This window comes from Homo sapiens, chromosome 10, assembly GCF_000001405.40.
Source record: "Homo sapiens chromosome 10, GRCh38.p14 Primary Assembly".
Classification (NCBI taxonomy): Eukaryota; Metazoa; Chordata; class Mammalia; order Primates; family Hominidae; genus Homo; species Homo sapiens.
Window position 1 is genome coordinate 118,297,887 of NC_000010.11, and position 25,265 is coordinate 118,323,151.

At 37.9% G+C, this 25,265-nt stretch overlaps 1 protein-coding gene across 5 annotated transcripts in view, besides 1 other annotated feature; it reads right to left on the bottom strand.

Annotated features, from left to right (window-relative positions):
* Positions 1–38: 38 nt before the first annotated feature.
* The window catches only part of FAM204A (family with sequence similarity 204 member A), a 44,400-nt gene continuing 19,173 nt past the window's right edge, over positions 39–25,265 (bottom strand). For 4 of the 5 annotated variants that reach the window (NM_001134672.2, NM_022063.3, XM_005270024.2 and 1 more), the window contains 2 exons: positions 13,321–13,427; positions 39–13,022 (listed from right to left, as the gene is read on the bottom strand). In NM_001134672.2, coding sequence (NP_001128144.1) covers positions 12,971–13,022; positions 13,321–13,427 — 159 coding nt within the window. In that variant the 3' untranslated portion in view covers positions 39–12,970. Of the gene's footprint in view, positions 13,023–13,318; positions 13,428–24,418; positions 24,526–25,265 lie in introns of those variants that run through there. The other variant, XM_047425618.1, reaches the window with a different exon arrangement.
* Positions 16,641–18,298: an enhancer, noted in NCBI's record as "VISTA enhancer hs672". NCBI's record gives its function as "enhancer in: midbrain (mesencephalon)[4/5] | forebrain[4/5]" and the evidence as "EXISTENCE:transgenic organism evidence [ECO:0001131][PMID:17130149]".

Consider the following 25,265-nt stretch of genomic DNA (forward strand, 5'->3'; position numbering starts at 1 on the left):
GGGTGGTGATAACAGCAACAATAAAGTAATAATTATACTTAGCTGCAATTGACCATGTTTTATTGCTGAATTGTCACAACAGCCCTGACCAAGTAGTTATTATTGCCCTCCCTTACAGAACAATGACCCAAAAAATTACCCAAGATCAGACTAGTGAGTAGAACCAGTATAGAAACCTAGTTATCTGCGTATTCCATCCTCTGGGCAGCACACTACTGCCATCTCCTTTATCTTAAATGTGTGTGGGAGTGAGAGAGCTAACGTTACGTGTGGCTTTAAATTTTTGAGCCCCAGTCCCTGGAACTAACCCATCTACTTTCCTTGAATCTCTTCCTAGACAGGCCCCCTGAGCCAGACAGGAAATCCACTGGTATTTAAAAAGATAGGTTGTGTGCATGGTACATGACAGGCTAGCAGTAACTCCCTTCATCCTGATTTTCCACCCTCTTTCTGGGTACCTCAGTGTCCTCTTGTTGTAAAAGTCATTAGGTATGTTTAAAATCCGAATGCGATGTGTATCTGAATAAAGACGCTTATTCTCTCCTACCAGTTACTCTTCATTTTTATGTGTCAGAAAGCGTTCCTTGCATAAACAGGTGTTATTTCCATGTACTTTTGCTCAGGTTCTTTGGATACCATGATCTTAGCTATCTGCAAAGCTGACCAGGGCTAGAACTCCATTTTACCACCTCTGACATCCACTCTTTGCCGATAGAGAAACTTGCTTCAGGACAAGATCTAGCTTGGAGCAGGTCGTAGCAGAGGACAGACATTTTACAATGTACAGAGATTATTGTTACGTCCACATTATTATTTTTGGCACTAGGAAACATGAGGACCAGTGATGAAATGTCTGGGGAAGAGGTTTCAGTCAACTGTCACTATCTTCGGCATCCACCCAAGAGTGATCTAACCTTTGCAAAGCCTTCACTGATTCGGGAACCTCAAATGCGTTTTCATTGTTAGGTTGCACCGTTAATTCTCTGTTGCATTACCTATCCTGTTTAAAAAAATAAAACAATCTAAGAAGGCAGATAATGTTTAATGGAAAAGGGCAGCGATGGACTAATGGTTGCCTAGCAACCACTAGACATTGTTTTGCTGCTTCACTCTAGAGAAGCCAAAATGGCGGCTGTAATCCTTCTCTGGCCCCCTGGACAGTGTACGTGTGAGTGACGGTTCCCTCTGGGCCCACATCATTTTCTTGTCTTGGGCAGCAGATCATTCCTTTTTCAGCTTCCAAATGGGGAAAACTGTCTGCCTGATTCTTGAGTATGCTAATGCCTACACTTTCATCTTCTCAGAAAATCTATGGCTGAACTTTTCAGGTTCTTCCTTTGGGCAGTACTGCTTAAGTGTTTTCATACCACTCTCCATTTCCTGCTTTGAGCTGCCCTTCCTGTCAATCAATTACCAACCCTGCTTCTGTATTTTTTTTTGAGGTCAAGCTAGGTACTTGACATGATTTGGTTTTGGAAAACCTCCTCCTTTCTGCTTCCAGAAGGTTTTTTTTTTTTTTTTTTTTTTGAGACAGGGTCAGGCTGGACTGCAGTGGTGCGATCACGGCTCACTGCAGCCTCGACCTCTCGGGTTTAAGTAATCCTCCCACCTTAGCCTCCCGAGTAGCTGGGGGACTACAGGGGTGTACCACCACATATGGCTAATTTTTTATTTTTTGTAGTGATGAAGTCCTGCTGTTGCTCAGGCTAGTCTTGAACTCCTAGGCTCAAGCAGCTCTCCCTCCTCGGCCTCCCAAAGTGCTAGGATTACAGGAGTCGGCGACCACACTTGGCCCAGAAAGGTCTTGAGTGCTCATTCCCTAAGGCCGAGGAAAGCTTGACAATTATTGGACAACTGGGTTTTCTCACAACTAGAGAATGGAAGAGAAGAGAAATATGGTTACAAAAAGTACAAGTGGAATCTTCAGAATTACAAGCATGATCAATAAGACTGCATGAACCTATTTTTACTAACAATTTTTCCATTAGCACGTCTTGAAAACCACAATTCTGCTATCAATAGGAATCTAAAATACTTGAATTGCTTTAATCCTTTGCTATCCCTAAATCACAAGTAGATTGGAAGTGGGTCTTGTGTGGCCTTGATTATAGAGGAACAAAGTAGCAACTGTATTGAGGACCGTCCATGACAGCTTGCTGATTTGGGGGAGATGAGTGGGATGTGATTTCTTGGCCATCTTAATGGGCTGGACACCCTAGAATGGAAGTGTTTAAGCAGGGTCCTCTAGAAGGAAAAGTTCAGGTGGTTTCTGAACCACGGAAATTGTGTGCAAAATGCAGTGCTTATGTTCACATGTCCATCTTTCTAGAGAGAGGGTCTGTAGCCCCCAGCAACTGAAAAACCAGTGGCACAGAGGGAGATGAGGAAATGAGGAGCTTTGGGAAAACTTGGCTTTCAAAAAAATATACTGAGGATGATTTAATGCAGAAATATCTTGAAAGAAAAGATGAAAGGACGTATTACTTCTTTTGTTCACTCAAGCCAATTAAATCAACAAATATTTACTGAACACCTACCATGTATGAGTCATTGAGAAATATCCTAGGAATACAGTCATGAAAATTGAATGGCCCATTAGATCATGGTGGTGTAGCCTAGGGCACTGATTAACATTGGCTGAACACATATTATATGCTAGGACTATTATGCACATTAATAAAATCATCAAAAACCACATAAACTTCAAAGCAGTATATATCATATTAAATCTCTAAGTATATATCCACTGAGAGCTGTCTGACTCTGAAGCCAGTCCTTTAGCCACCCACCTATAGGAGCTTAGCCCTGGGGAATTCTTTGGGCAGAATCCAGGGACATACTGAGTTGGGGTTTGGTGGTTCCAAGGAAAGCAGCTTCCACCTGAAAGGAAGTACAGTACTGGGGCCTTACTTCCCTAAAGACCCAGGGAGGGGAGAGAAAGTGCTCTGCTTGTATCCTAAGCACAAATGCAATACAGCAACATCAGTAATGGTAACTGAGTGCTTACTGCATGCCAGACCCGTGCTAAGCTCTCTCCATGCACTATCTTAATGTTCACAACCTCACACAGTAAGCATTATTAACAACAGCACTTTACAAATAGAAATTTGTTGAGGCTCAGAGTTGCCATAGCTGGTGAGCATCCACAGCCTACATTCAAACCCAAGTTTCATTCCAAAGCTTTGCTTTCCTGCTGCTGTATGTCTTTTGCGTCATCTTCGCATATTTAACCTCCTTGGCTCAACTGGGAACTCTTTGAAGGCTAGGGCCATCAATTACATTTTTGTTTCTTCCAGAAAATTGGCACGTACTGTGGAGTAATAACAACATTAGTACTAACAAACACTTACACACTTTCACAGAATTGTCAAGGACTACGAAGGGTCTGAGATTTCACCCTACTTGCAACTTAGCAAGTCAGTTGGCCAGTTTTACAAATGCTGATAGAAGACACTAGACTCTCAGTTCAGACATTTACTCACAACAGAAATAGCCATCAGCATTTTTGCATTGATTCCTACAGTATGACAGTTAAGAGGGCCAAAAGACACCTGTATACTGCATGACTTTCATTCAAGAACAGGAACTCTGAGTTAGGAAACCGAATCTTTTGTAATGGGAGTAAGCATGTCTGTTCTTTGCTCTAGAGTGAGACACTATCTCAATCTTCCAAGGATGTTATATACAAACATCCTTGCAAAGATAGTTTGGAACAAAAGGGTACTTAGTGCCTTGCTTCCAAGACGTGTAGAAATGCAAGAATTGTCCAGAGAATTGTCTCCCAACAAGTATATTGTTTGCTATATGTGAGAATCTATTCTCAGCACTTTCATATTCATTAGTTCCTTTAATCCTCACATCTCTATAAGATAGCTACTATTATTATCTCCATTTCTCAGGAGAACCCAAGGTACAGAGAGATTAAGTAGCCTGCCGGAGGTTACACAGCTTGTAAGTAGCAGAGCTGGGATTCAAATCTGGCTTGCTTCATAGTCCAGGGTGTAGCAGTTTCACTATTCTAACATTTGCTGGCATCAGCAACACACCTGCCTCCGTCCTTTTTCTCCAAAGTTTATCACCATATGAGAGTCCAGTGGTTCTCACACTTCAACGTCCCATCAGAAGATACAAGGTCTTGCTACCACAGTTGAATTCACGTCTGGCCTGGCGCCTGAGCACTTGCATCTCTATATTTCCTAGGTGATGTTGTGTGACACTGCAGAGTCTGCTTATTATGTCTTTCCCTCTAGGATATGAGCCCCATGAAGATCCAGCCGCTTTGTTCAGCGTGGCATCCTCAGTGCCTGCTGTAGTGCCAGACACATCACAAGCCTTCAATGCATTTATTGAAATAATGAGAAAAGGAAATGCAGGAAGAGGGATCCATTTCTTCCAGATTCTGTTATCTGACCTTAACCTTGGAAAATCCTCTAGTGCCATCCTGGCAGTTAAGGCCCTTGAGCAGCCGTCACTGCCACAGGCTACGGAGGTAAAGGAAGCAGCAAAACAAATCTTGAAAAAGGCAGCTTGCTCCTGATGGAGCTGCATGAGTTACAAGGTTTTTAACTGCAAGAATTGTTGGAGCCACTTCTGGTAATATATGAATTTCATAAAAATGTTTTCCAAGGTGCACAGAAACATCTGAGGACTTTAATTAAGCCCTCCACCATCGGGAATGGAACTTTTATGTACATGGACTTTGGATTTTCTTTTTCTCTTTTTGAGCACTGCTGGCAAGGAAGCAAGTACCAAGCGAGGATTCCAATTGAGTTCTTTGACACGGAACCTTTCTTTTCCTTTTTTGGAAAATGGAAGTAATGTACTAGTACAGGCAGTCTGTTTGGGAATATGAGCGTTTATATTAATGGCATTAAACTCAGTATTTATACCACAAGGCACCTCCTTCCCTATGGTTTGTGATAAGACATGTGCAAGTTGCACTGACTTGCTTTCCTCTTTCCCATCCCAGACTCCCCGTGTAAGAAGCGGGTGCTGCTCCAAGACAATGAGTCTTCTTTGTATGCACTAATTACAGAGGAGCTTTTGAAAATGTGGAATCCCAGGCCCTGCCCCCAGAGAGGGACCCTGGAGTTTACATTTTTAACAAGTGATTCTGCTTGCAGGAGGGCATGGATCCCACTTCAAGAACCACTGGAATGGGGTAGGGAAGAGGCAAAGGCCTGGCCTGCGTTCTAACGTCAGCCCTTTTATGCTAGATGAATGGCTGTAGAGTTCTCTTAAACTTCCCAGCACCTTGATTTCCTCATCTAAAAAACAAGTATAATGTGTCTTTGGCTTTCTTAGAGGAATAGTGCAAGAGCACTGTATGGGAAGAGTAATGAAAGAAGAATTTCAGATTTTCAATCTGCTAGACATTTATACATATGTAGAACCAAGATGTCCCTCCAAGGCAAGGAGCATAAATAACAATGAATCCTCAAAGTGTTTTTAAAAAATTTACAGAACAATAACAGTACTTCTAAGGCTTATATTCTCAGTCATGATTATTTATTAAATAGTTTAACTGGAAGGACCAGGTATGTATCCTCCACCCCTTCCATCCATCCCTCCTTTCATCCCATGTAAAATGCTGGCCTGCAGTGACTGACTGACTGAGACTGATACCGGGTTTAAAAGCCAGCTCCAGCCGGGCGCGGTGGCTCATGCCTGTAATCCCAGCACTTTGGGAGGCTGAGGTGGGCGGATCACAAGGTCAAGAGATTGAGACCACCTTGGCCAACATAGTGAAACCCTGTCTCTACTAAAAATACAAAAATTAGCTGGGCGTGGTGGTGCATGCCTGTAGTTCCACCTACTCGGGAGGCTGAGGCAGGAGAATTGCTTGAACCTGGGAAGCAGAGGTTGAAGTGAGCTGAGATGACACCACTGCACTCTAGCCTGGCGACAGAGCAAGACTCCGTCTCAAAAAGAAAAAAAGAAAAAAAACAGCTCCTTTGCCACAAGCAGAGTTCACAGAGCCCTCTTCCCCCAGCACAAGGCCAAGGCTTTACCCCTTTCAGGCATTCCCCTTCCTCATGGGCTTTGCTCCCTCCCTTACAAATGTTTCCTGAAGTGCATACTTTTACAAATCACCTCCACAAGAGATCTGAGGCACTGTTTCTAGGAAATCCAACCTAAGATTGCAATTGCACCATCTATTGCAATTCTGGTCTGGATGTCTGATTTGGCCAAGATCACCGGTGCCATCTGATGCTAACTCCAACAGCCACCTCTCCACCATTATCTTGCCTGACAGCTCAGCGGCATTTGTTCCTGTTGACATGCCACCTTTCAAGACCTCTTTCATCGACCTATTTCTGCAACCTCCCTCCCTTCTGACCTCCAGGTTGCTACATAGAAGTGTCCATTTGACATTTCCATGGCATTCCACAGGTACCATGACACAACAAGTATAAATATGACCTACTTTACTAAATACTAAATGTCTAACTCTATATTACTAAACTACTAATATAACATTACTCTTTAAAAGCCTGCTCTCTGACTACCTTCTTCATCCCACATCACCATCCATAGACACCCAACTCTTCCCCGCACAAGTCCAATCTCCCCAGCATCTCTCAAAGTTGTGTGTGAGTTGGTTCTGGCCAGCTCTTTTCAACGCCATCTCTTTCTGCTGCTCTACTTCCCTGTTCTCATTCTCTCCCCTGGCCCCTGCTAAAGTCCTTGCTGTACCTCAAATGTGCCACGCCGTTCCTTCTACCTAGGATGCACTCGCTTCTACTCGCCTACCTGGTAAAGTCCCAACAGCCCTTTATGGCATAATAAGCACTGCCTTTGCCTCACTGACTGAGCATGCAATGCTCTTTCAGCAGGTATCACACTGTGACACCACACCCACTACACGGTAATATGAACAGCTACTTTGACTCAGCTCTGTCAACACACCCAAGTAAAAATGACTCCATCAAATCACAAATAGTAGTTTGTGCTACTCAACATCAGCAAAATGTAAAGTTACTACATCGTATGTGATTGAGGCAATGTGGCAGATACTGCAAGCTATTTACTAAAATTTCTTTCCTCCCAGTCTATATTTTCCAGCTTCCCTTGTGGTTAGTGTGATGAAGTAAGGAAGTCTGAGCCAGTGCAAAGTGAGAACTAATGTGTTCCACTTCCAGGCCAGGCCCGTAACTTCCCGCCAGTGCTCTTCCATGCTCTTTTCCCTTCCAGCTGACTGGCATCGAGGGGACATCCAGGATTACTAGGGAAAGAAGGCGGTGAGTCGCTGTCAGCCTGGGTCTCTGAATGACAGCCCGGAACAGAGCCCTCGTTGATAGCAAGCAACATTCTCCTTTGTCTCATGAACAAGAAATAAGCTTGTATTGTGCTTGAGTCATTATATTTTGGGGGGCATATTTGTAGTAGTAGGAAGCATTACCCTAACATGGGAAGGTACTGTGGCCCACCCAAGCTAAAATAAAGGACACGTTAATGCAGTCTAAGAAAACTTTAAGCTTAAAATCACTGAGTAATGTGCAGAACAAACATTTGCATTCATTCCTGAGTCAAACCCCACCAATGCTCCTCATCTCCAGGGGAGACAGTCAGGGCATCAATCCCACCCACTCTGATGTGAGCAAGTATGGATCAGTCACTAAGCTGATAAGCCACTGTAGCTGACTGCCTAGCTAGGAAATTCAGCAACCTGTACAGTAAGTATATACTCAGGTAACTAAAATTTTTAAGTCTACATTACTTCTTATATGTAGATTATGTCTTTGTATTCAGCAAAGAAAAACTCACTGATTTTCTAATAGCCCGCCTGAAAATGGAGTTGTTCAAAACATGGTTTACATATATTTCCTATTAGATTTTGCTTATTCATCCTTGCATCTGCAAGAGTTAGTTTATCTGACATATAGTAGGCATTCAGGAAATGTTCCTTGGGCATTATGTAGGGAGAAATTCAAAGAAACGCAAAGCTTCATTGTTTCACTATTCCTTGTGACATTCATAATTACTTCTAGTATCACCCATCTTACAAATGAAAACACTTTTTATTGTGGGCAGTCATAATTGTATGCTATCCATCAAACAATAAAACCTTTATAGCTGAGACACATTCAGCCTGAAGATGAAGTGATATATTGACTTCTTGATCAAATGCCAGAACTTACAGATGAATATGAAACAGACATCAATAATTACAGCTTGCACTGTAGCTGTTGGTTCCTAAGGCTTTAAATTCAATGAACAAGTAAAAACTGGACAGACACACCCTTCAGAAATTAGAGGTGGAAAAGGATTACCTCATTCCATACCTGTCACATAGCAGGCCCCCTGCAGCTATTCAGCGAGAGGCAGCCCAGGGTCCAGGAGGGGGTGTGGGCTGGAGCTGCCAGGATGGTGCCAGTGGGCAGGCACGGGGGAAACCTGGCAGGGGAGCACTTAGGAGCCGAGGTTTCTCTTGGGCACTACCCTCCCTTCCCCTTTCATTCCCTTGTATTCTGCTTCCTTGAGAAACCTGGTCCGGATATAAAAGCACATACTTAAATTCAATTTCTTAAAAATGTCATCTCACCTGGAAAACAAACTTTACTTGAATCTAAAAATGAGTTACTACTACTACTAATAAAAAGATATTCCTCAGCTAATTCTTGATTTACATGCACATCTAAAAACATAGCATTCTGCATGGCATTTAATAAACTATCTCCCAGAAGCCTATAGCTGTGTTCCAGGGATTAAGATCATGAAAGCCAATGTGGCAGGAAGCTACTCTGAAGCATCTCTGTATTTGAAGAAATTCCGGAAAGGGAACAGACACCTCCAGAATACTCACTATTGAGTAGGAGATAATAAAGAGACAACACACCTCATTTTAACAGTAGCACAAAATGGTTCAATGCCTTTCCAGGTTTCCTCGTGGCAATCTCCATTGGCCACATGCTGTCATGTCCTTTACTGAAGGCAAGAATCCCTTCCCAGGAAGTCTATGCTGATTACAGCAGTTAACACTAGAAAATGTGTGTAGGTATTTTTTTCTTTTAAAGCAAGCAGTGTGGAGGGAGGATGAAATAATAAAGATTAAAGAATGCAGTTCTGCACATTTTATCAAAATCTACAGAGCTCCCCAACCTCAAAAATGAAAAATGGACCTTATTGTCTCAGTATCCTACAAAGGCCAAGAATATATATTGATAAATTTATTCTAACACATATTCTACTTTCTAGCATAAAGTCACCCACTAATTTAAATTTGAAAACCTAGATACTCTGATTACCTCATAATAAAAATCACTTGAGATGCACTGCCGTGGGTTTACACAGCCTTCAACTTTTCAAAGTATTTTTCGACCCGTCACCATGCTAGAAGGCACTGATGTCACAAATACCAGTCTACATTTGGTTCTGGAAAAAGATTTTCATGTACATATTTTGTCCAAATATTACTATTTGTTTCATGAAAGTCAGAGCTAAGACTTTAGTAGAGTGTAAATTTTAAGCCAATGAATAAACAGTTGGCAGGAAAAAATATTGAACTGACATGCAAAGCATTTGTTGCTCTGCCAGATACTAAAAATAAAAGCAACTTCTGCCAAAATGGAAAACTTGGATTCAGTTGGTTCTGGATTAGACTAGGTTTCACTAACTTCAAAATGAGATCTGACATAACATCGGCTTGCCTCCTCAAACTTTATCATCTCTTAAAAAATAATGTACAACTCTCATTTTGTTTAAACAACAACCTCATACAATATGTTTTATATTTAGCAAGACACACATTTCTTAAAAAGTAATGTCTTAACAAAAATTTGGACATTTTATAAATTATATCTTCATTTTTTGTGAATTAAATTCAAACTTGTCTTATTAAAGTTATTAATAAGCTAAAAGATAATATTTTAGACAAAAGGTATAAAGAAAATCAGAAGATTTTAATGTGAGTTCTAAGTTGTGACTTAAAAGTTCAGATAACATTTTATTCCTATCCTTAGCCTGCTGCTCCCTTATCTGTCATCCTAAAAAAATAAGTGTTTAAAATATGCAGTTTGAGATTTATGATCAGTTGCAGAAACCTGTTTACGTACTGATTTACAGTCTTGGCTGAGGTATTTAACTCTGTCATCAGAACTAATTATAGCAAACCTAAGATTATATATTCAATCTCTCCTTTCGGTGAAAGACATAGAATGTTCTGCTGAAAATCAGAAACATCCTGAGGGCTCCCAAACAAGAATGCACTGCCAACTTCCCTTTCTCAGAACCAGTGCTGTAAAGCTCAAAATTACTGTTCTTTAGTAAGATGTTTTAGCCTAAAGTACTTAAATAGTAAATCATAGTTACATTAATGCCATACCAACGGCCTGAAACATATTAATCTCAGTTAACAATAACTGACGTTTACATTACTGATCTAACTCAGGCATTCTGGTGGTAGTAAATGCACATATTGAAGTTTTAGGAACCAAAGTTATTACTGATCCAAAAAGAATCCTTATTTTGCTGTGACTAGAATGGAGTGGACAAATGACTACATCCTTTGAGCAGCATGCGTACTCAAGGAATAATGTTTCTAGGAGTAAAATACCTAATTCCTATTAGAAAGGATAAAATAAAACTGCTCTCAAATGACATGTCAGCAGGGCCAATCCAAGACAACCTGTCCCCACAAATCTTCCCTCCAACCCCTTCTTCTGCTACACATAACGTTTTAGAGCTTTCCACAACCCATGCCCAGAAAGGAGTGACGACTTGGGAGAAGTGGCTTCCTTTATTAGATGAGCCCCCGCTATACTTAATTCTGCTGAAATGCCTGCCTTCCGCGTAGTTAAAATGTTCCCATCTACATGAGAACCCCGAGGGGATGCTGAGGGGGCAACTGCGGGCACTGGAGCAGGCTGAAGAAGGGCTTCCTTGGCTGGACAGGATCCCAAGTCAGACCCTACAGGAGGCCACTCTGGCAAGGCTTCAGTATGGGAAGTGCAACATGCCTGCAGGGGTCACTAAATGCTCTAAGGAGTAGAAACAGAAAAAAAAAAAAAAATGAGACTGAAGTCAAAGGGAAATGCCCATATCGGGGCCCCAAGTGTGAGAATATCTATACCACTCGCCTGCTCAAAAATAACATTTTTAGGATTTCAGACAAAACCACTGGATTGTATAGTGAATATTTCCCCCATAATGGATTTTTAGAGGAAAGGTTTCTATACTAAAAGTCTGTATTTACCTAATTTAGCAGTTTGAAATGAATATTGTAGGTAAGTTTTACATGATCATATCTGTAAAATGGAACAAGGGATATTAAATCATAAAATAAGACTTTCCAACATTTGGTCTGGATACTGAATTAGTATGACACATAATATTCTAAAACTTTGCTTTCTCTATGCTGGCTTTTCTCAACTAAATGAAAGCAAGATATGATTTTTGGATGCTTAAATAGTAGCTAGGTATTCTCTTATTCCAGAACACAGAAAAAAAAAGCCATTAAATGTGCCACCATAAATAAAATTTTGTTACTATTTTAAGTCTAAAAATAACAGTAATATAATCATGATTCATTTTACATGTTTCTGAATTTATATTATCAACCCAGAGAAAGTTTATATCAGACAGGTAGGAAACCTCTGACAACGACAGAAGAGGTGAACTGACAAAAACCATGCTGAGTGGTTCTTTACCTCCGCTGGGCACTGAGCAGGGAGGTGCCGACACACCTGGTCTTGTTCACCTGCTTGTTTTATGATTTTCTGGAGCCCCTTTCCTGTCAGAACCAGGAAATGTACATCTAATGAAAACGATTTCCCATGTTACCAATCCTCTCTTTCTGCTCATTAATTCATTCAATCTTTTAAGGAGGAATGGGGAATGGGAGGAAAACCAAACAAATCAGTTCTTAGAAGGTTCAAAGTTATATTATCTTGAGTTATAATTGTCTGTTTAATACAATTACACCATTTTCTCTTCTAAGAACCATCTCATAATTTAAAGAATGACATGGCTGAGAAAAATACTTAGGAAGACATTTTTAGGCGTTGCTGAATTTAAATCATCTTCCAAATACTACATTCTGCTCCTTTCTTTATTGTAATAGTTTATCTGAAAGTACACAAAAATTAACAAATTGCTTTTACTATGCAACTCTGAAATATCAAGTCTGCCTCCAATTAAAAAAAAACAGTAACTACTTTTATAACATTAAGGTCAAGTCATTTGTAAAGATAATATCAACTGAGACTTTTTGGTACTTACGACTAATCCATTATAAACAACTGTCAGTCTTAAAAACACAGTTCCAGTAAACGTGTAGTTACACTGGGTACAGATAAGAAAATACAAGGGCAGCATGGTAGCTCATGTCTGTACTCCCAGAACTTTGGGAGGCAGAGGCAGGTGAATCATATGAGGCCAGGAGTTCAAGACCAGCCTGACCAACACAGCAAAACTCTGTCTCTACTAAAAATACAAAAAAAAAAAAAAAATTAGCCGGGTGTGGTGGCATTTGTCCATAATCCCAGCTACTCAGGAGGCTGAGGCATGAGAATCACTTGAACCCAGGAAGCAGTGGTTGCAGTGAGCCAAGATCGTGCTACTGCACTCTAGCCTGGGTGACAGAGCAAGCGAGGCTCTGTCTCAAAAAAAAAAAAAAAAAGAAAGAAAGTACGAGAAGCTCACTGGCTGTGCTAAACCAAATGAATGGAAAGCGCCAAAAGTGATTTTATACCAAGGGTCCATCCATACAAATAAACAAAATCCTATCCTCTTCTTTCTATATTTTTTTTCTTACATTTCTTATACAAATAACAGAATGCTTCATTTTATTCACTTCAATAGGACAAAGTCCTTAAAGAAAGACTGAAAAGAGCTGATAATCAAAATCCCAAATTTTATGCTTATTTTTGTTTTAGTGCTATCAATTTTCTGACATATTAACATAGGCAGGAAAACATTCTCAGTAAATTGAGCATTTGAGTCTACAAATGTCTTGAAGCACTCTGGCAAGTTACATGTATCCCATGTTGCTTTTGGTTTCCCATCTCTTCTTTGCTTCAAACCTAAAAGGAAGAACATACAAATCTCAATTTATTTCTTAAAAAAAAAAATACTTTGCTGAACATGTTTACTTAGAGACCAAAGCAAAACAAACAAAAATTTTTCACATACTCCAATGATTACAAAATAAACATTAAACAGGATGAAGAAATGCCTCTATATTTATAATCTGATAAACATTCAACGAAGAAAAAAATGTAAAATGAGTTAACAGTTATACACGAACTAGATCACAAAATATATTAGCAGAATTTCTATGAAGTCAGGAGATTTACTACCAAAAATCTTAAGTAAACTCACCCCCATGCAAGTTTCTTCTTTTTTCGGGCAGCCTGTGAATTTTCAACCTCCTTTTTGGCTTTTACAAAGTTGTGGCAGGCAACTGCTTTGGCAATTTTTACACCAAGCTAAGAATTACAAAGGAGAAAAAAAAAGTGAAAATAAATATTCCAGCTAATACAGTAATTACACTTATACAAATAATTGAGAACTTGTGGGTAAGAAAGCCATGTCTAGAAATTAGAAATTCTATGTTCATTCCTTCTCAAAGTATAATGAATACAAAGACAGGACCCATATCTCCCGTGACTCCCAATAGACCCTTTACCCTAGTTATACCAGTCTCCTGGATGGAAATCCTTCTCAAACTGAGGCCCCTCGAGGGTCCACAAAGGTAGTAATGAGGATCTTCAAGCTATTTCAGCATTGCAGTAGGCTGAACAGGAATTTACCCCTGATAAGGCTGCAGACACTGACAGAGACATCAAGTTTCTTTGCTCTGGGCTAGAATTACAGCAACTCAGTATGGTCACACCAGTTATCTCATGCTGATCAGAAGCTCTGATTGGCAGTCACAGATGTGATTAATAAAACATGGGAAAGCTAATTACTACTTCATAAATGCACTCTGTATGATCGGTAACAGCTTTTAATTCACTGAGAGAAAAAAGAATATCAGGGGTGCTAAGGTGAAAAGGCTGAGCACCAGGACCACAGTACTTAAGTGTCCCCTGTGCAGGGCCCTCTATGTGTGCCCCCCTTACACCCACCTGCCAGTCCTACAAGATCCATTCACCGTGAAATCCCCCCATCCCAGAAGTCTTCTTTAACTCAACCTAAAACAGTCCCTGTTTCTCCAGCCCTCCAGCTTTCAGTTTTACACTCTGCCCTGCACGGCGCTCTGGCTGCAGAGCTGTTCCCCAGCAAGCATCTCCAGGATAAGCATTGTGATGGTATCTTCTACTTTTAGTGTGCTCTTAGTTTTAAAATGCCCACCAATGCGGACAGCTCAAGAGTACCCATTAAGAACCCAGATTAAACAATAAAAACGAAGTACCTCTTTGGTGTTTCTTGCCTTTTCTATCCCTTGTACTCACCTGATGCATATTAGTAGACAGGCAGACTTGTAAAAAAGAAGAAATGACCTAGAAGCCACTCTAAAGTCAACAGGTTAAAGCCTAAGTTCTAGGGATCTGCTTGCCAATAGTAAGGCATGGCAGGAGGTTAAGAGCACACGTGTAAGGAAAGAAGCAAACTTAGGAGAGCAAGGTTTGGCACGCTTGACATGTCTTTCAGCTTAATCTTGGAGAACAGTTTCCTTTAGGATGAAATCGACAAGTAGTAATCAAGCACTGTCTGTAGTTTATAAATGAGGGCAAAAATAGATTTGATTTTTCAGTACAGTTAAGAACATATATATAAAGAACGTAGACAAATGGAAGGAAGCTGACAATTGAACTACGGTGCCGAATTGGTCAACATCAACAGGAAAGGCGCCGAAGAAAGGATGATCCATTGTAAAGCAGACCAACCTCGGTGTGTTCCCAAAACTCAAACCCGTATTTAGCAGTGCTACTGTCGTCCTCCTCTTTTTCAAAGGAATAACATTCATTCAACAAATTTTACAAAGGCATAAATGCATAATTTTGCCAGGCACTGTTCTAGGTGCTGGAGGTAGAGCATTGAGTGAAACGGGTTGTTTTCAAACTGTGGGGCTGGGGAGGAGTTGGCAGTTACATTTGACTGCTTTAGTATTGGCTTTGTTCTTTTGGTTCTCTTTTCAAAATTTCCAGTTCTTTATTGTAGAAAAGTTCACGTAAGTCAACCAAATAAAAAAAGGTTAAGAATCAAAAGCCTGTATTATCATCATCCCAGGAGAAAATGAAACTCTGGAAGGAGGCTGTGGCATAATTTATCATTAAGATGAAGTTCCTATCCACTGAAAAACTATCCATTTGTCATACATGTAAAAAAAAAAAAATCAAGTTAACACCTATCAACTAGTTAGGCTAGTCAACCTTGCAGTATCCAACAAATATCCAAATCTCACTAGCTAACTTCTATTTCTTGTCTCATTTTAAGTCCCTGTGGATGGGCAGGACTCTCCTCTAACCTGTGATGCCGGCATCTCAACATGTGGCTTTCAGGACTATTATGGCAGAACAAGAGCGGGAGGGCCTCACAATGGCTCTTCGATGCTTTAGTTCGGCAGTGACACAAATCATTTCTGCTCAGAGCCCACTGGTCAGAACTACTCACGTGGCTCCGAAACAAGGGGGCTTGGAAATGTGGAGGTACAGCAGGCTATGAAGGGAGCAGTAAATATACCTAATAAACTCTCTTCTGCTGTAAATCATAGCTGGCTACTTGTGTTTAAGATGCATATAGGTCTCTCCACATTCAAGTGGACAATTCAGTCTCTTTCCTCTTCCCCATCGCCAAAACGTAAAACAGAAAAATCTATATTTTTTCCATTAACTCCATTCCTATCAAATGCAAATTCAGTTTTGCCAAAACCACCCACCAAAAATGACCCACTCAGCTAGCTTCTCTTATATTTCAACTGAGACTATACTGTAAGAAACAAAAATGATCTGAACCATATTTGCCATGTAACATTAACAATGTGAGAAAATTATTTTTTAAAACTGTTGTCAATTAAGACATAACTTATATTTTTCTCATTGGAATTTCCCAACATGGCTGTCCTGGTTAGGACAGCCAAACCAAGCCAAAGAGCAGCTCCCTATGTCTGGGCATGCAGTCATCTGACTTCAATAGACTCTTCACCTCGACATGTCATGTACTCTAAGAATGTAAAAGCTTTTAGTGCTCCAGCAATGCTAAGGCCAAATCCAGCACAACTAGCATCACAGTAAATACTTAACAGCATATGTTCCTTAATACAGTATATGCTTGTTAAAAATAATTCATTAGAACGTATTAATAAGCAGCCATTCACATGAGAGGGCTCCATCATTTTGTGAGCTTAATAAATATAATAAACAACTAGGTACATAAGCAACACTTTCAAACAGACCTGATCCTATAAAAGGTATATTTTCTAACTGTATTTTACCTTGGCTTAGGTTAAATAAAATGTTCTTCAGCTGATAAAACACTAAGCAAACCTGGTCTATGTATTTTCTACAGAAAGAAATCTTTTAGCTTGTAATGATGAAAACTCATAGCCTTTTTGTGTCCTTCGTATAATTAAAATGAACGTGTCTCACTTATTTCTGTGGAGAAAGAAAAAATATCTGAAAATATAAAAGGCTAATAAGACCTTCTATGAAAGAGGCAGTTGAGAAGAAACGCAGTTTCCCAGTCAAGATGACTAACCTGGGTTCCAGAATATAAAAGAATATCGTGCTGTGCTGCAGTATTACAAACAAATAAAATAGGCCGAAAAGAATCCCCCTTCCACTTCCATAAAAAGAAAAATGCATCTTCATGCTCAATGTAAACATCACAAAAGCTTGGTCAATGGTTTAATATTTAAAAAATGGTTTTGGGTCATCAGATAACTATAGCAACACAACGTGGAAAGAAATTTTTTTAAATGAATAAAATATATACAAAATTTCTTGTATGTGTAGCCAAAGTATCAGCATTTTCCATATAGAACATCCAATATTTTGCTGCATTTTAATTAAGGTGTCTAAACATTATCACAAAGAACTGCAAATTGGTCAGAGCATGCAGTAAGGAAAATTAAGCTCTAAAGGCTTTTTATCACCATATTTCAGGAACCAAGGGTGTAAAATGTTCTAATTTGGGATATATTAAAAGCCATAAAAGGTCTTTCAAAAAGATTAATGGTACTTTGCTTGGATTTAAGATAAGGGCTTTAGCTGGTTGGAAAAGCAGGGCCCTGGCTGGACCCTTGAGGCATTCATCTTTACAGCCACTTGGAAGATTTGTAAAAGCGTCTGCATAACCTCAAGCAAATGCACGGCGACATTTTTTTAATTCCTTTCAATTTTACAGGTTTAGCGTGTGTAAATCATATTGGGTTGTAAAATAGATATAATGGCACATCCTTGCAACACAGTACAGATTTTTAAAAGACAAACTTCAAAATAAAGTTAGTTTTTCTTGCAAAATCTTGTCATTATAAAGTTTGCTGATAATCATTTGAAGTATCTGATTCAAACCGCTTAATCTAGCATAACTGTAAATTTCTTATCCGTTTCAGAGTAAATTTTACTCATCTCAAAATTACTAGCTTGTAACAGATTTATAAAGTTTTCCTCCCTTTTGAACACTTTCAAGGCACTTATTTAAAAATACCAATTATCATACTTTAACTTTTTATGGAATAATAGGTCTCTATGAAAAATATTTATGCCATTCTCTTTTGTTCTTTAATTAAATGAAAACAGATGTTTTCTGAAGTAAAGCGGAACCATTACTGGAGTACTTAAAGTGTTAAGGTCTTTAATTTTTATATCAGTTTGGTCGACAATTCTTGATTGTCTTTACTCAAGCTCAACATTAATGTCAAGCAAGTTACCTAGGAGACGAAAGAGATCAAAGAGACAAAAACCCCTCCAATGTCTGATTAATCAAGCCTGCAAACAGCTTATTTCTTTTAGCCTGCATGCAAGTATGAAAATGAGATTCTGGGAGCCGAACATGGTGCAGATTTGTTCATTCTTATCAGAACAAAGCCAGCGGCAGCTTATTTCATGGATCATTGGCACTGTCATCAGTGCTACACAGAACGGGTGACAGCTCCTCATTTTGAGGCTTGAACAAAATTAGCAAAAAGTCGGCACAAATTAGCCTCTCATCTTTTTAGTAATATGACATTATTCATTTACTTTTTATCCAATTTTTAATTTTTTCCTTGTCAGCTATCCCTTTCTAGTGTCTCTTGCATGGCATCATAAAATGCCTTCCAAAAAACAAGCAAAGAAATAGCCAAAGTTGAAATAACATACAAAGTTCAAGAAGCAAATAAGAAAAAGTACTTCCAATGACTGGTAACACTGTGTTTTTAAAAAATAACTTTCGAAACTCTGCATTAATATTGATTTTTAAAAAACAGCTCACAATGCCTTGCAGTGAAGGAGTTTTAAGAAACTGGTGGTATATTTCAACAAAGAATATAATGTGACCAATGTGTTTCACTCAAACCACAATTTAATATATTATGTGCTCTAGTAAATTCAAGACATCTACATTTGAACTGGTACCTTTCCCTCCATGGTCACACCTGAGATGCCAAAGCCCTGGTGAAGCAAATAAGCTAGGCCATATCCAGTCACTTAACTCCTTCTTTAAATCAAATCATTTTCTGTCCTAAGAAATATAACCTAACTTCACTGTCATCTTAAAATGTGCATGCACAGGTTTGCATATGTTTGCACGTTTGTATACTACATGTATCTATATATATGTACGATCGTTTACACAGCTATCATTTATTTTTATACCTACAACTCCTATCACTTTATTTCAAAGCATAACCCAACAAATCCTGTTTTTAAAACACATCAAATAGATATATATACAAATATCTTTTATATGTGTATATCCACATATCATTCATATATGTGTGTATATGTGCATATATGATTCATATACTCTGATTTCATAGTGAAATCATTTACATAACACCTGTTTTAATGATGACTATTAAGGCTTCAAATTATATGTGGATTACAGTATTCCAAAGGAGGGAGAAGATGATGTTCTACTGTTGAAATTACTCCTGGATACAGACGTTTATATTCAAGCAACTTATGCCATTCATAAGGGGAAAAAAGCATTAAAAAATTAACCATAAGCTGTTAGATGCTTTACACAGCCCCCATAAGAAAGACAGTTTTTTAAAGAACTGTAGTACTGTTTTCAGCAATTTCTTTATCTCTGTTCTTCTAAGTAAGAAAGCCTATTAACAAGCTTTGAACTTAAAATCACATTTACAATAATGTGCCATCAACAGTTTTATAAGCTAATTAGAAAAAGATTAATTAATGACTGGCTGCTAATAAAATGGCAATCATGAAGAAAGAAACCAAGGGTGCTAAGCTTCAACTACCACCAATTAAGAGCTAATTACAAACAAATTATATATGTGTTTTGCTGTGGGCTTTAATTTACTAAAATGGTTTTAATTAAAAGAGAAAACATGCTGATTAATTGAACTGCAGAAAAATTCTACAGTATAAACTGTGCTTTGTCTGTCTCTTTAATTAGACTTGTAACATCTGAAATCTTTTTTTAAGGTTAGTTAAAAGCACAGATAAACATAATTAAAAGAGAGCATAAGGAACACCATTTGAGGTGATCACCCAATCATACCCCAAAGGTTAAAAGAAAATATCCTCAATGTAATGAGATTTGAATAAGCACACCTAAAAACCTGAGAGAAAAAAAACCATCACTGAACACCAGCCTTATTTTTCTGATATTAAAATGCTGCAGTGTCACGGCTGTGCACAATTTTGTATGGGAACAAACATATCTTTAAACTAGATGTAAAGAAATTCATCCAGGCCCTCTCTTACTTGGGAAGTCACAGCTTATTTTCCATACATTGTGCCAATTGTTGATCTACATGTAATAACTGAATTACCTGTAAGAACTAAGGAGAACAAGGCTTCAAAGAATTAAAATAGCCCTTTAAAAGCCCCCCAGATAATGTGCGGAATACAAAATGATACACAGAGTAACTTTTAAATTAAAAAGCACTGAAAGATGACCAAAGTTAATGAATGAGAGCGAGTTCTAGATGATCCTCAACAGACACACATATCCTTCCCAGAGGCAGAGTTCCCACATTCCCTAGGTGGTGAATTAGCTCCTGATCAACACAAGCCTATTTGGTGAAAGGTTTTTTCCCTCCCCAGTGTCCTATATTCTTTCTCATTGCTGATTAGTGAAATACACCAAAAAGAAAATGGTCTCCTATATTCTTTCTCATTGCTGATCAGTGAAATATACCAAAAAGAAAATGGTCTCCTAAACTCTACTGCTTTACTGGAAAGAGTAATAATAAACAAGCAAACAAAAGAAAAAGTAAGGGACAGAAGGCACAGTAATAAAATTTGAAAGAGAGACATAAAATATATTTTGCCAGAGTGCAGACATTAGATGACTCTGTATGAAATAATCATTTAAACAAAAAACAACCATTTGCTTTTACAGCAAAACCTACATTATATTCGTCATACACATCCCTGATACTAGCAATGAAGTAACTTCCTTTCCATAAAAATAAAATATTCAAATGGAGATATTAAATTTAAACCCTTAAAATACATATAAATAATACTTAATGCATTTTTTACTATGTTTACCCAATCTTCAGTGGCTAGAAATCACAATTAAGACAACAGAAAAGATCTGCAACCTTTCCGCAGGGTCACAGGTTCCAGTGGTAAATTGTTAGAACAGCTAATTGGAATACACCGCTCAGCTTTGTATCTGAGCAAACCGTTTTACCTCAGAAACGTGGCTGTCAAGACATTTCTACACAAAGTATTCACAAAAACAGAAAACGATTTTGTTTTCTGGATTACAGAATAAAGATCTGCTTCACTATAATATTGTCTTTCAATTCAGTTTTTTTCAGTTATTTTTTTGATGCAAACATAATGGCCCTGACTAGAAGTAACTTTAAACTTAGGTTTGAGAACATCTCTAGTTCAAAATTTAAGCAAATGTTTTGAACTCCAGACACAATAACACTCCAGGTACTCTGATCAAAATTGTATTATTTGGGAAGGGCTTTTTTTTTTTTTCCCAGGGGGAGGGGACTTCAAGCTCCTTTTCCATCAAGATAACAGCACTTACATCTACATAAAACTAATAACTGAAATGAAAAGGAAGAATTGTAGTCAAACCCTTTCTCAAGGAAACCAAAAGCTAACAATAAACTGACTGGAAAAGTCCTGAATACTAGAGCAAGTGCTACAGCATCCACAGCACTTTTGAGAAAGGACTACTTCTCAGATGTTAATATAAAACGAAAAATCTGTCTCCTCAAATGTACATATAAAGTCCTCTTCTAGGAGAATGCCTTTAGATGTTCTCCACAATTGCTTTACAGAGCTTAGGCTACAAATTAACAGTCTGCTCAAATTTAGAAAGCATTTAATTCACTTAGTTATAAATTACAACTCAATCAATTCAAACTTTATTTTTTTAATGGCCATTCCTACCTTCTTGAAATATTGACAAACTATTACTACTTCAACATTATTAACTTTACCTGTATTTTGAAATCCAAAAATCTAAGCAGTCTACTTCATTTATAATAAAATTAAAATTCAATTTCTGGCACAATTCATTCTGCCAATACAACACTTACATCTATAAAGAGGGTACCATTAAAATGAGATATATTTATCATTTCTACTTTTGATACACCGTGGTTATATTCTCAATAATATTAAGCTCAACAGCACTAAGGGCTGAAGTCATTGCCTTAGTTCCTTTTTTATAAGTTCAAAAAATGAGCTTTCATATATGAAAAATTTTATCGTATCATGACTCTAAATCAAAGGGTTTTAGATTCAGCAAAGATGGCAGCGCATTATAACCACAGGATCTGAGATGTAAATATTATATTAAATGCCTTGCAAATCATCAAAAACCAATATGATTACTCTTTGTAGCTTGTGCAAAACTGTTATAATGTTACAACATGAAGTTCTGGTGTTTTCAAGGAGTCAGGTTTACTCTGCCTTCAAAGACCATCCTGTTTCAGCTACTTACAGAAAAAGGATAATCTTTAAGGGCATAAAAAAGCCAAAATGAAATTCATAGGCAACCTCTCTTTCCCCATTCATTTCTGCCATCACACTATATAGGTATAACTGAAATCAACCTAAGCAATAGGTATGATGCTTTGGATGGCAGAAACTCACGGTTCTGCTGCCAAACCAAGTTGGTTTTTATCTATAGCAGGCTAACATGAAGATGCCTAGAGAGAAATCCCCTTTTATGTGAGGTTCAATCTAAGTAATCGGTAGTAAGCAGTTACTACTTTAACATTATTAACTTACCTGTATTTTAAAATCCAAAAATTTAAGCACTCTATTTATAATAAAAAATTAATTTATTAAATAAAATAAAAACTTTATTTATTAAATAAAATAAATTTATTTTTATTAAATTTTTAGTTAAATCTGCTTCCTTTGTTAAATCTAGACTTTAGCACTTAATCTTAAAATATTTGTTTCTATCGTTTTCTATAAATTGGTATGATTTAAACAAACATAATGTATAAGAAAAGAAAGTACCAAAGCGTGGCATTTTCAATGATCATTATCAATGAATGGAATGTACATCAAACCAAGTCTGAGTTTAACAAGCCACAAATACACTCAAATACTTGAATGTGTATTTTATACACATACACACACACACACATATTTCAAATTAGAACAGTTTCATCAGTATGACACAAACCTAAGTATATGTTTCTACTTCATCTCTCCCCCAAGACTTTTAACAAAGTATTTAATCAACAGGAGGGACAGTCTCAATCACATTACATGACAAAACCAAAGACGACAGCATAATCTAGGCTTCAAACATGTGAAGTGACTGAGACATCCCCCAAACCAGATTCTACACATCTTAATGCCATCATTAATTTAAGGGAGTATGATTCCGGAAAACTATGTTCTTGCTGTATCACAACAGGAGCACACTAACAGTCTTATTTTGGAATACCGTTTTGTGTGTGTGTGTGTGTGTGGTTTTTTTTTTTTAAGAACTGTTTTCAAGGCCTATTCTCAGACATGGTTCTACTTTTGGCTTCATTTTTCTCAATACTGATGCTGCCCCATTGGTTTCATAGGTTTATAAATGTTAAACATCAAAAATTAGTTTCACTTATTATGGTTGGAAAAGGCTTTAAGAACTCTGGGATCTGTGCCTCTGAGCAAAGGCTTTATCAGCAGGTCCCAGTCACTGCTGCTTGAAAAAAGAAAACGGTACTGATGAAAAACCAATATACCTGATTTCCAAAAGGACACCTATCATGCACATATACATTTAATTCATAAAGGGCTTCTGCCCCCAAACTCACACTTAGTTCTCAAAATCCCATCTCTCATATCCATGGTTATTGGTACCAAGGAGATAAATATGTAAAATTAAATCTCAAACCAAACTATTCATTCAAAAATTCCATCTTGATTATTCTTCACGGGTACTTAATGAAAGTAACATCAGTATCTTTCCAATTTGGCCTGTGTCTGAACGGCAAACATTTTCCAGATGTTTTTCCACTTACACAGGGCAAAGAACAGGGCCTAAATTATTTTTCTTTTAATCAGAATGCTATAATCCCACATTAAACACATTTATTTTACCAGAAAAAAACATTGTATTTGTATGAATATAAAAAGTACAATGAGAAAAACATTTACTATTCTTACAAGGGCTGAAAATCTCATGTATTTCTGAAGCAATCTCATTTGTCAAAAAGTGTGACAGGAAATAGCCCTTAAAAAATGGAAAACATCTAGTCAGTATCATACAATTCCCATTTCTAAAACTGCAGTATGACAAAGCAAAAAAAAAAAAAAAAAAAAGAATCCTAATATCCTCAAAGGAAACTCACATTTCTGAAACCTCTAAGGCGCTAGTTCTGTATGTTTTGACAAACAGCTTCAAACTGCACATAGAAAGGAAAGCTTGTAGTGAATAGTAGCGAGGTAGACAAGGACAGAGTTCATATGCAACCGCTGGTGGGCAGAATGTCACATGGTGACCCTACACCAGGCCAGTGCATCATTTAGGAAAACTTTATCCAAGTCCCAATTGTCCAGATTTACTGAGAAATTTAGCAAAGGCACACAAAAGATTCTATAATCCAACAGCTCACTTAAGCCAAGTTTTAGATTTAGTTTGCTGGGTGATGATTAAAAGTACAATGAGATCATATTTTAAAGATCAAAAGTCATTTGGCAGTCACCATAATAAAAACTGTCACAAGCAAGAAAATCAGCAGTGGACACTAAAACAAACAGGGAAAACATGAGAAAGAGAACATTTACACAGTCTCAGATTATCTCCTAACTCCCCACAAGACACTTATTTATTCCAAAGAAAGAAACAATAACATCACAGTGGAGAAATCTGGAGACACTACCTGAAGTAGTTAATCGAAGTAACACCATCAGGAAAGGGACAAAGAGACAGCACGAGTCTCTGGATCGCTGACACTGAGAAACACACAACATTACTCCCATGATTTTCCTGCCAAAAATGCATAACCTAAAACTAATCATGAGGAAACAGCAGACAAATCAAAATTATAAGGGACATGCTACAAAGTAACTGGCCTCTTCAGAAATATTAAGGTCCTGAGAAACAAAGAAAAACTGAGGAACCATTCCAGATTAAAAAAACTAAAGAAACATGACGACAAAATGCAAAGTCATTGACTAGGAAAAAGAAGTTTCTTTTGCTATAAAGGGAATTAGTGGGACAACTGGTAAATTTAAATAAAGTATGTCAAATTAGAAAACATGAAGGCAAATGTTGTAAAATGTTAGCATTTCTGGTATCTGAGGGAAAGGTAAATAGGAAATCTTTTTCCAAATTTCTCAACTTTTTGAAAGTCTGAAATAATTGCAAAATATAAAGGGTGTTGTTGTTTTTTTAAGTAAAATGTGTTCAACTCAAAACTTCAGCATTACTAACTCTACTAAAAGGAACATAGAACCTGCAGTAAAATAAATGCTTCTCTGTGAATTCCCCTTGTTTCAGATGGGGGTACTAATAAGCAGAAAAAGATAAAAAGATGGACAGTTGTGCACGGATCACATGGAGTCCACATTTTAACCCTGAAGACTAGGCTTTCCCTTACCTTTTCTTCCTTTAGCAAAGCAAAATCTGAGGAAACTGACTGACTTGGGGGATTCTGTTGGTCAGTCACTTGCTACTTGGAAGAGATCACAAAATACGCAACTCTGGGATCTTCCAAAAGGAAGACT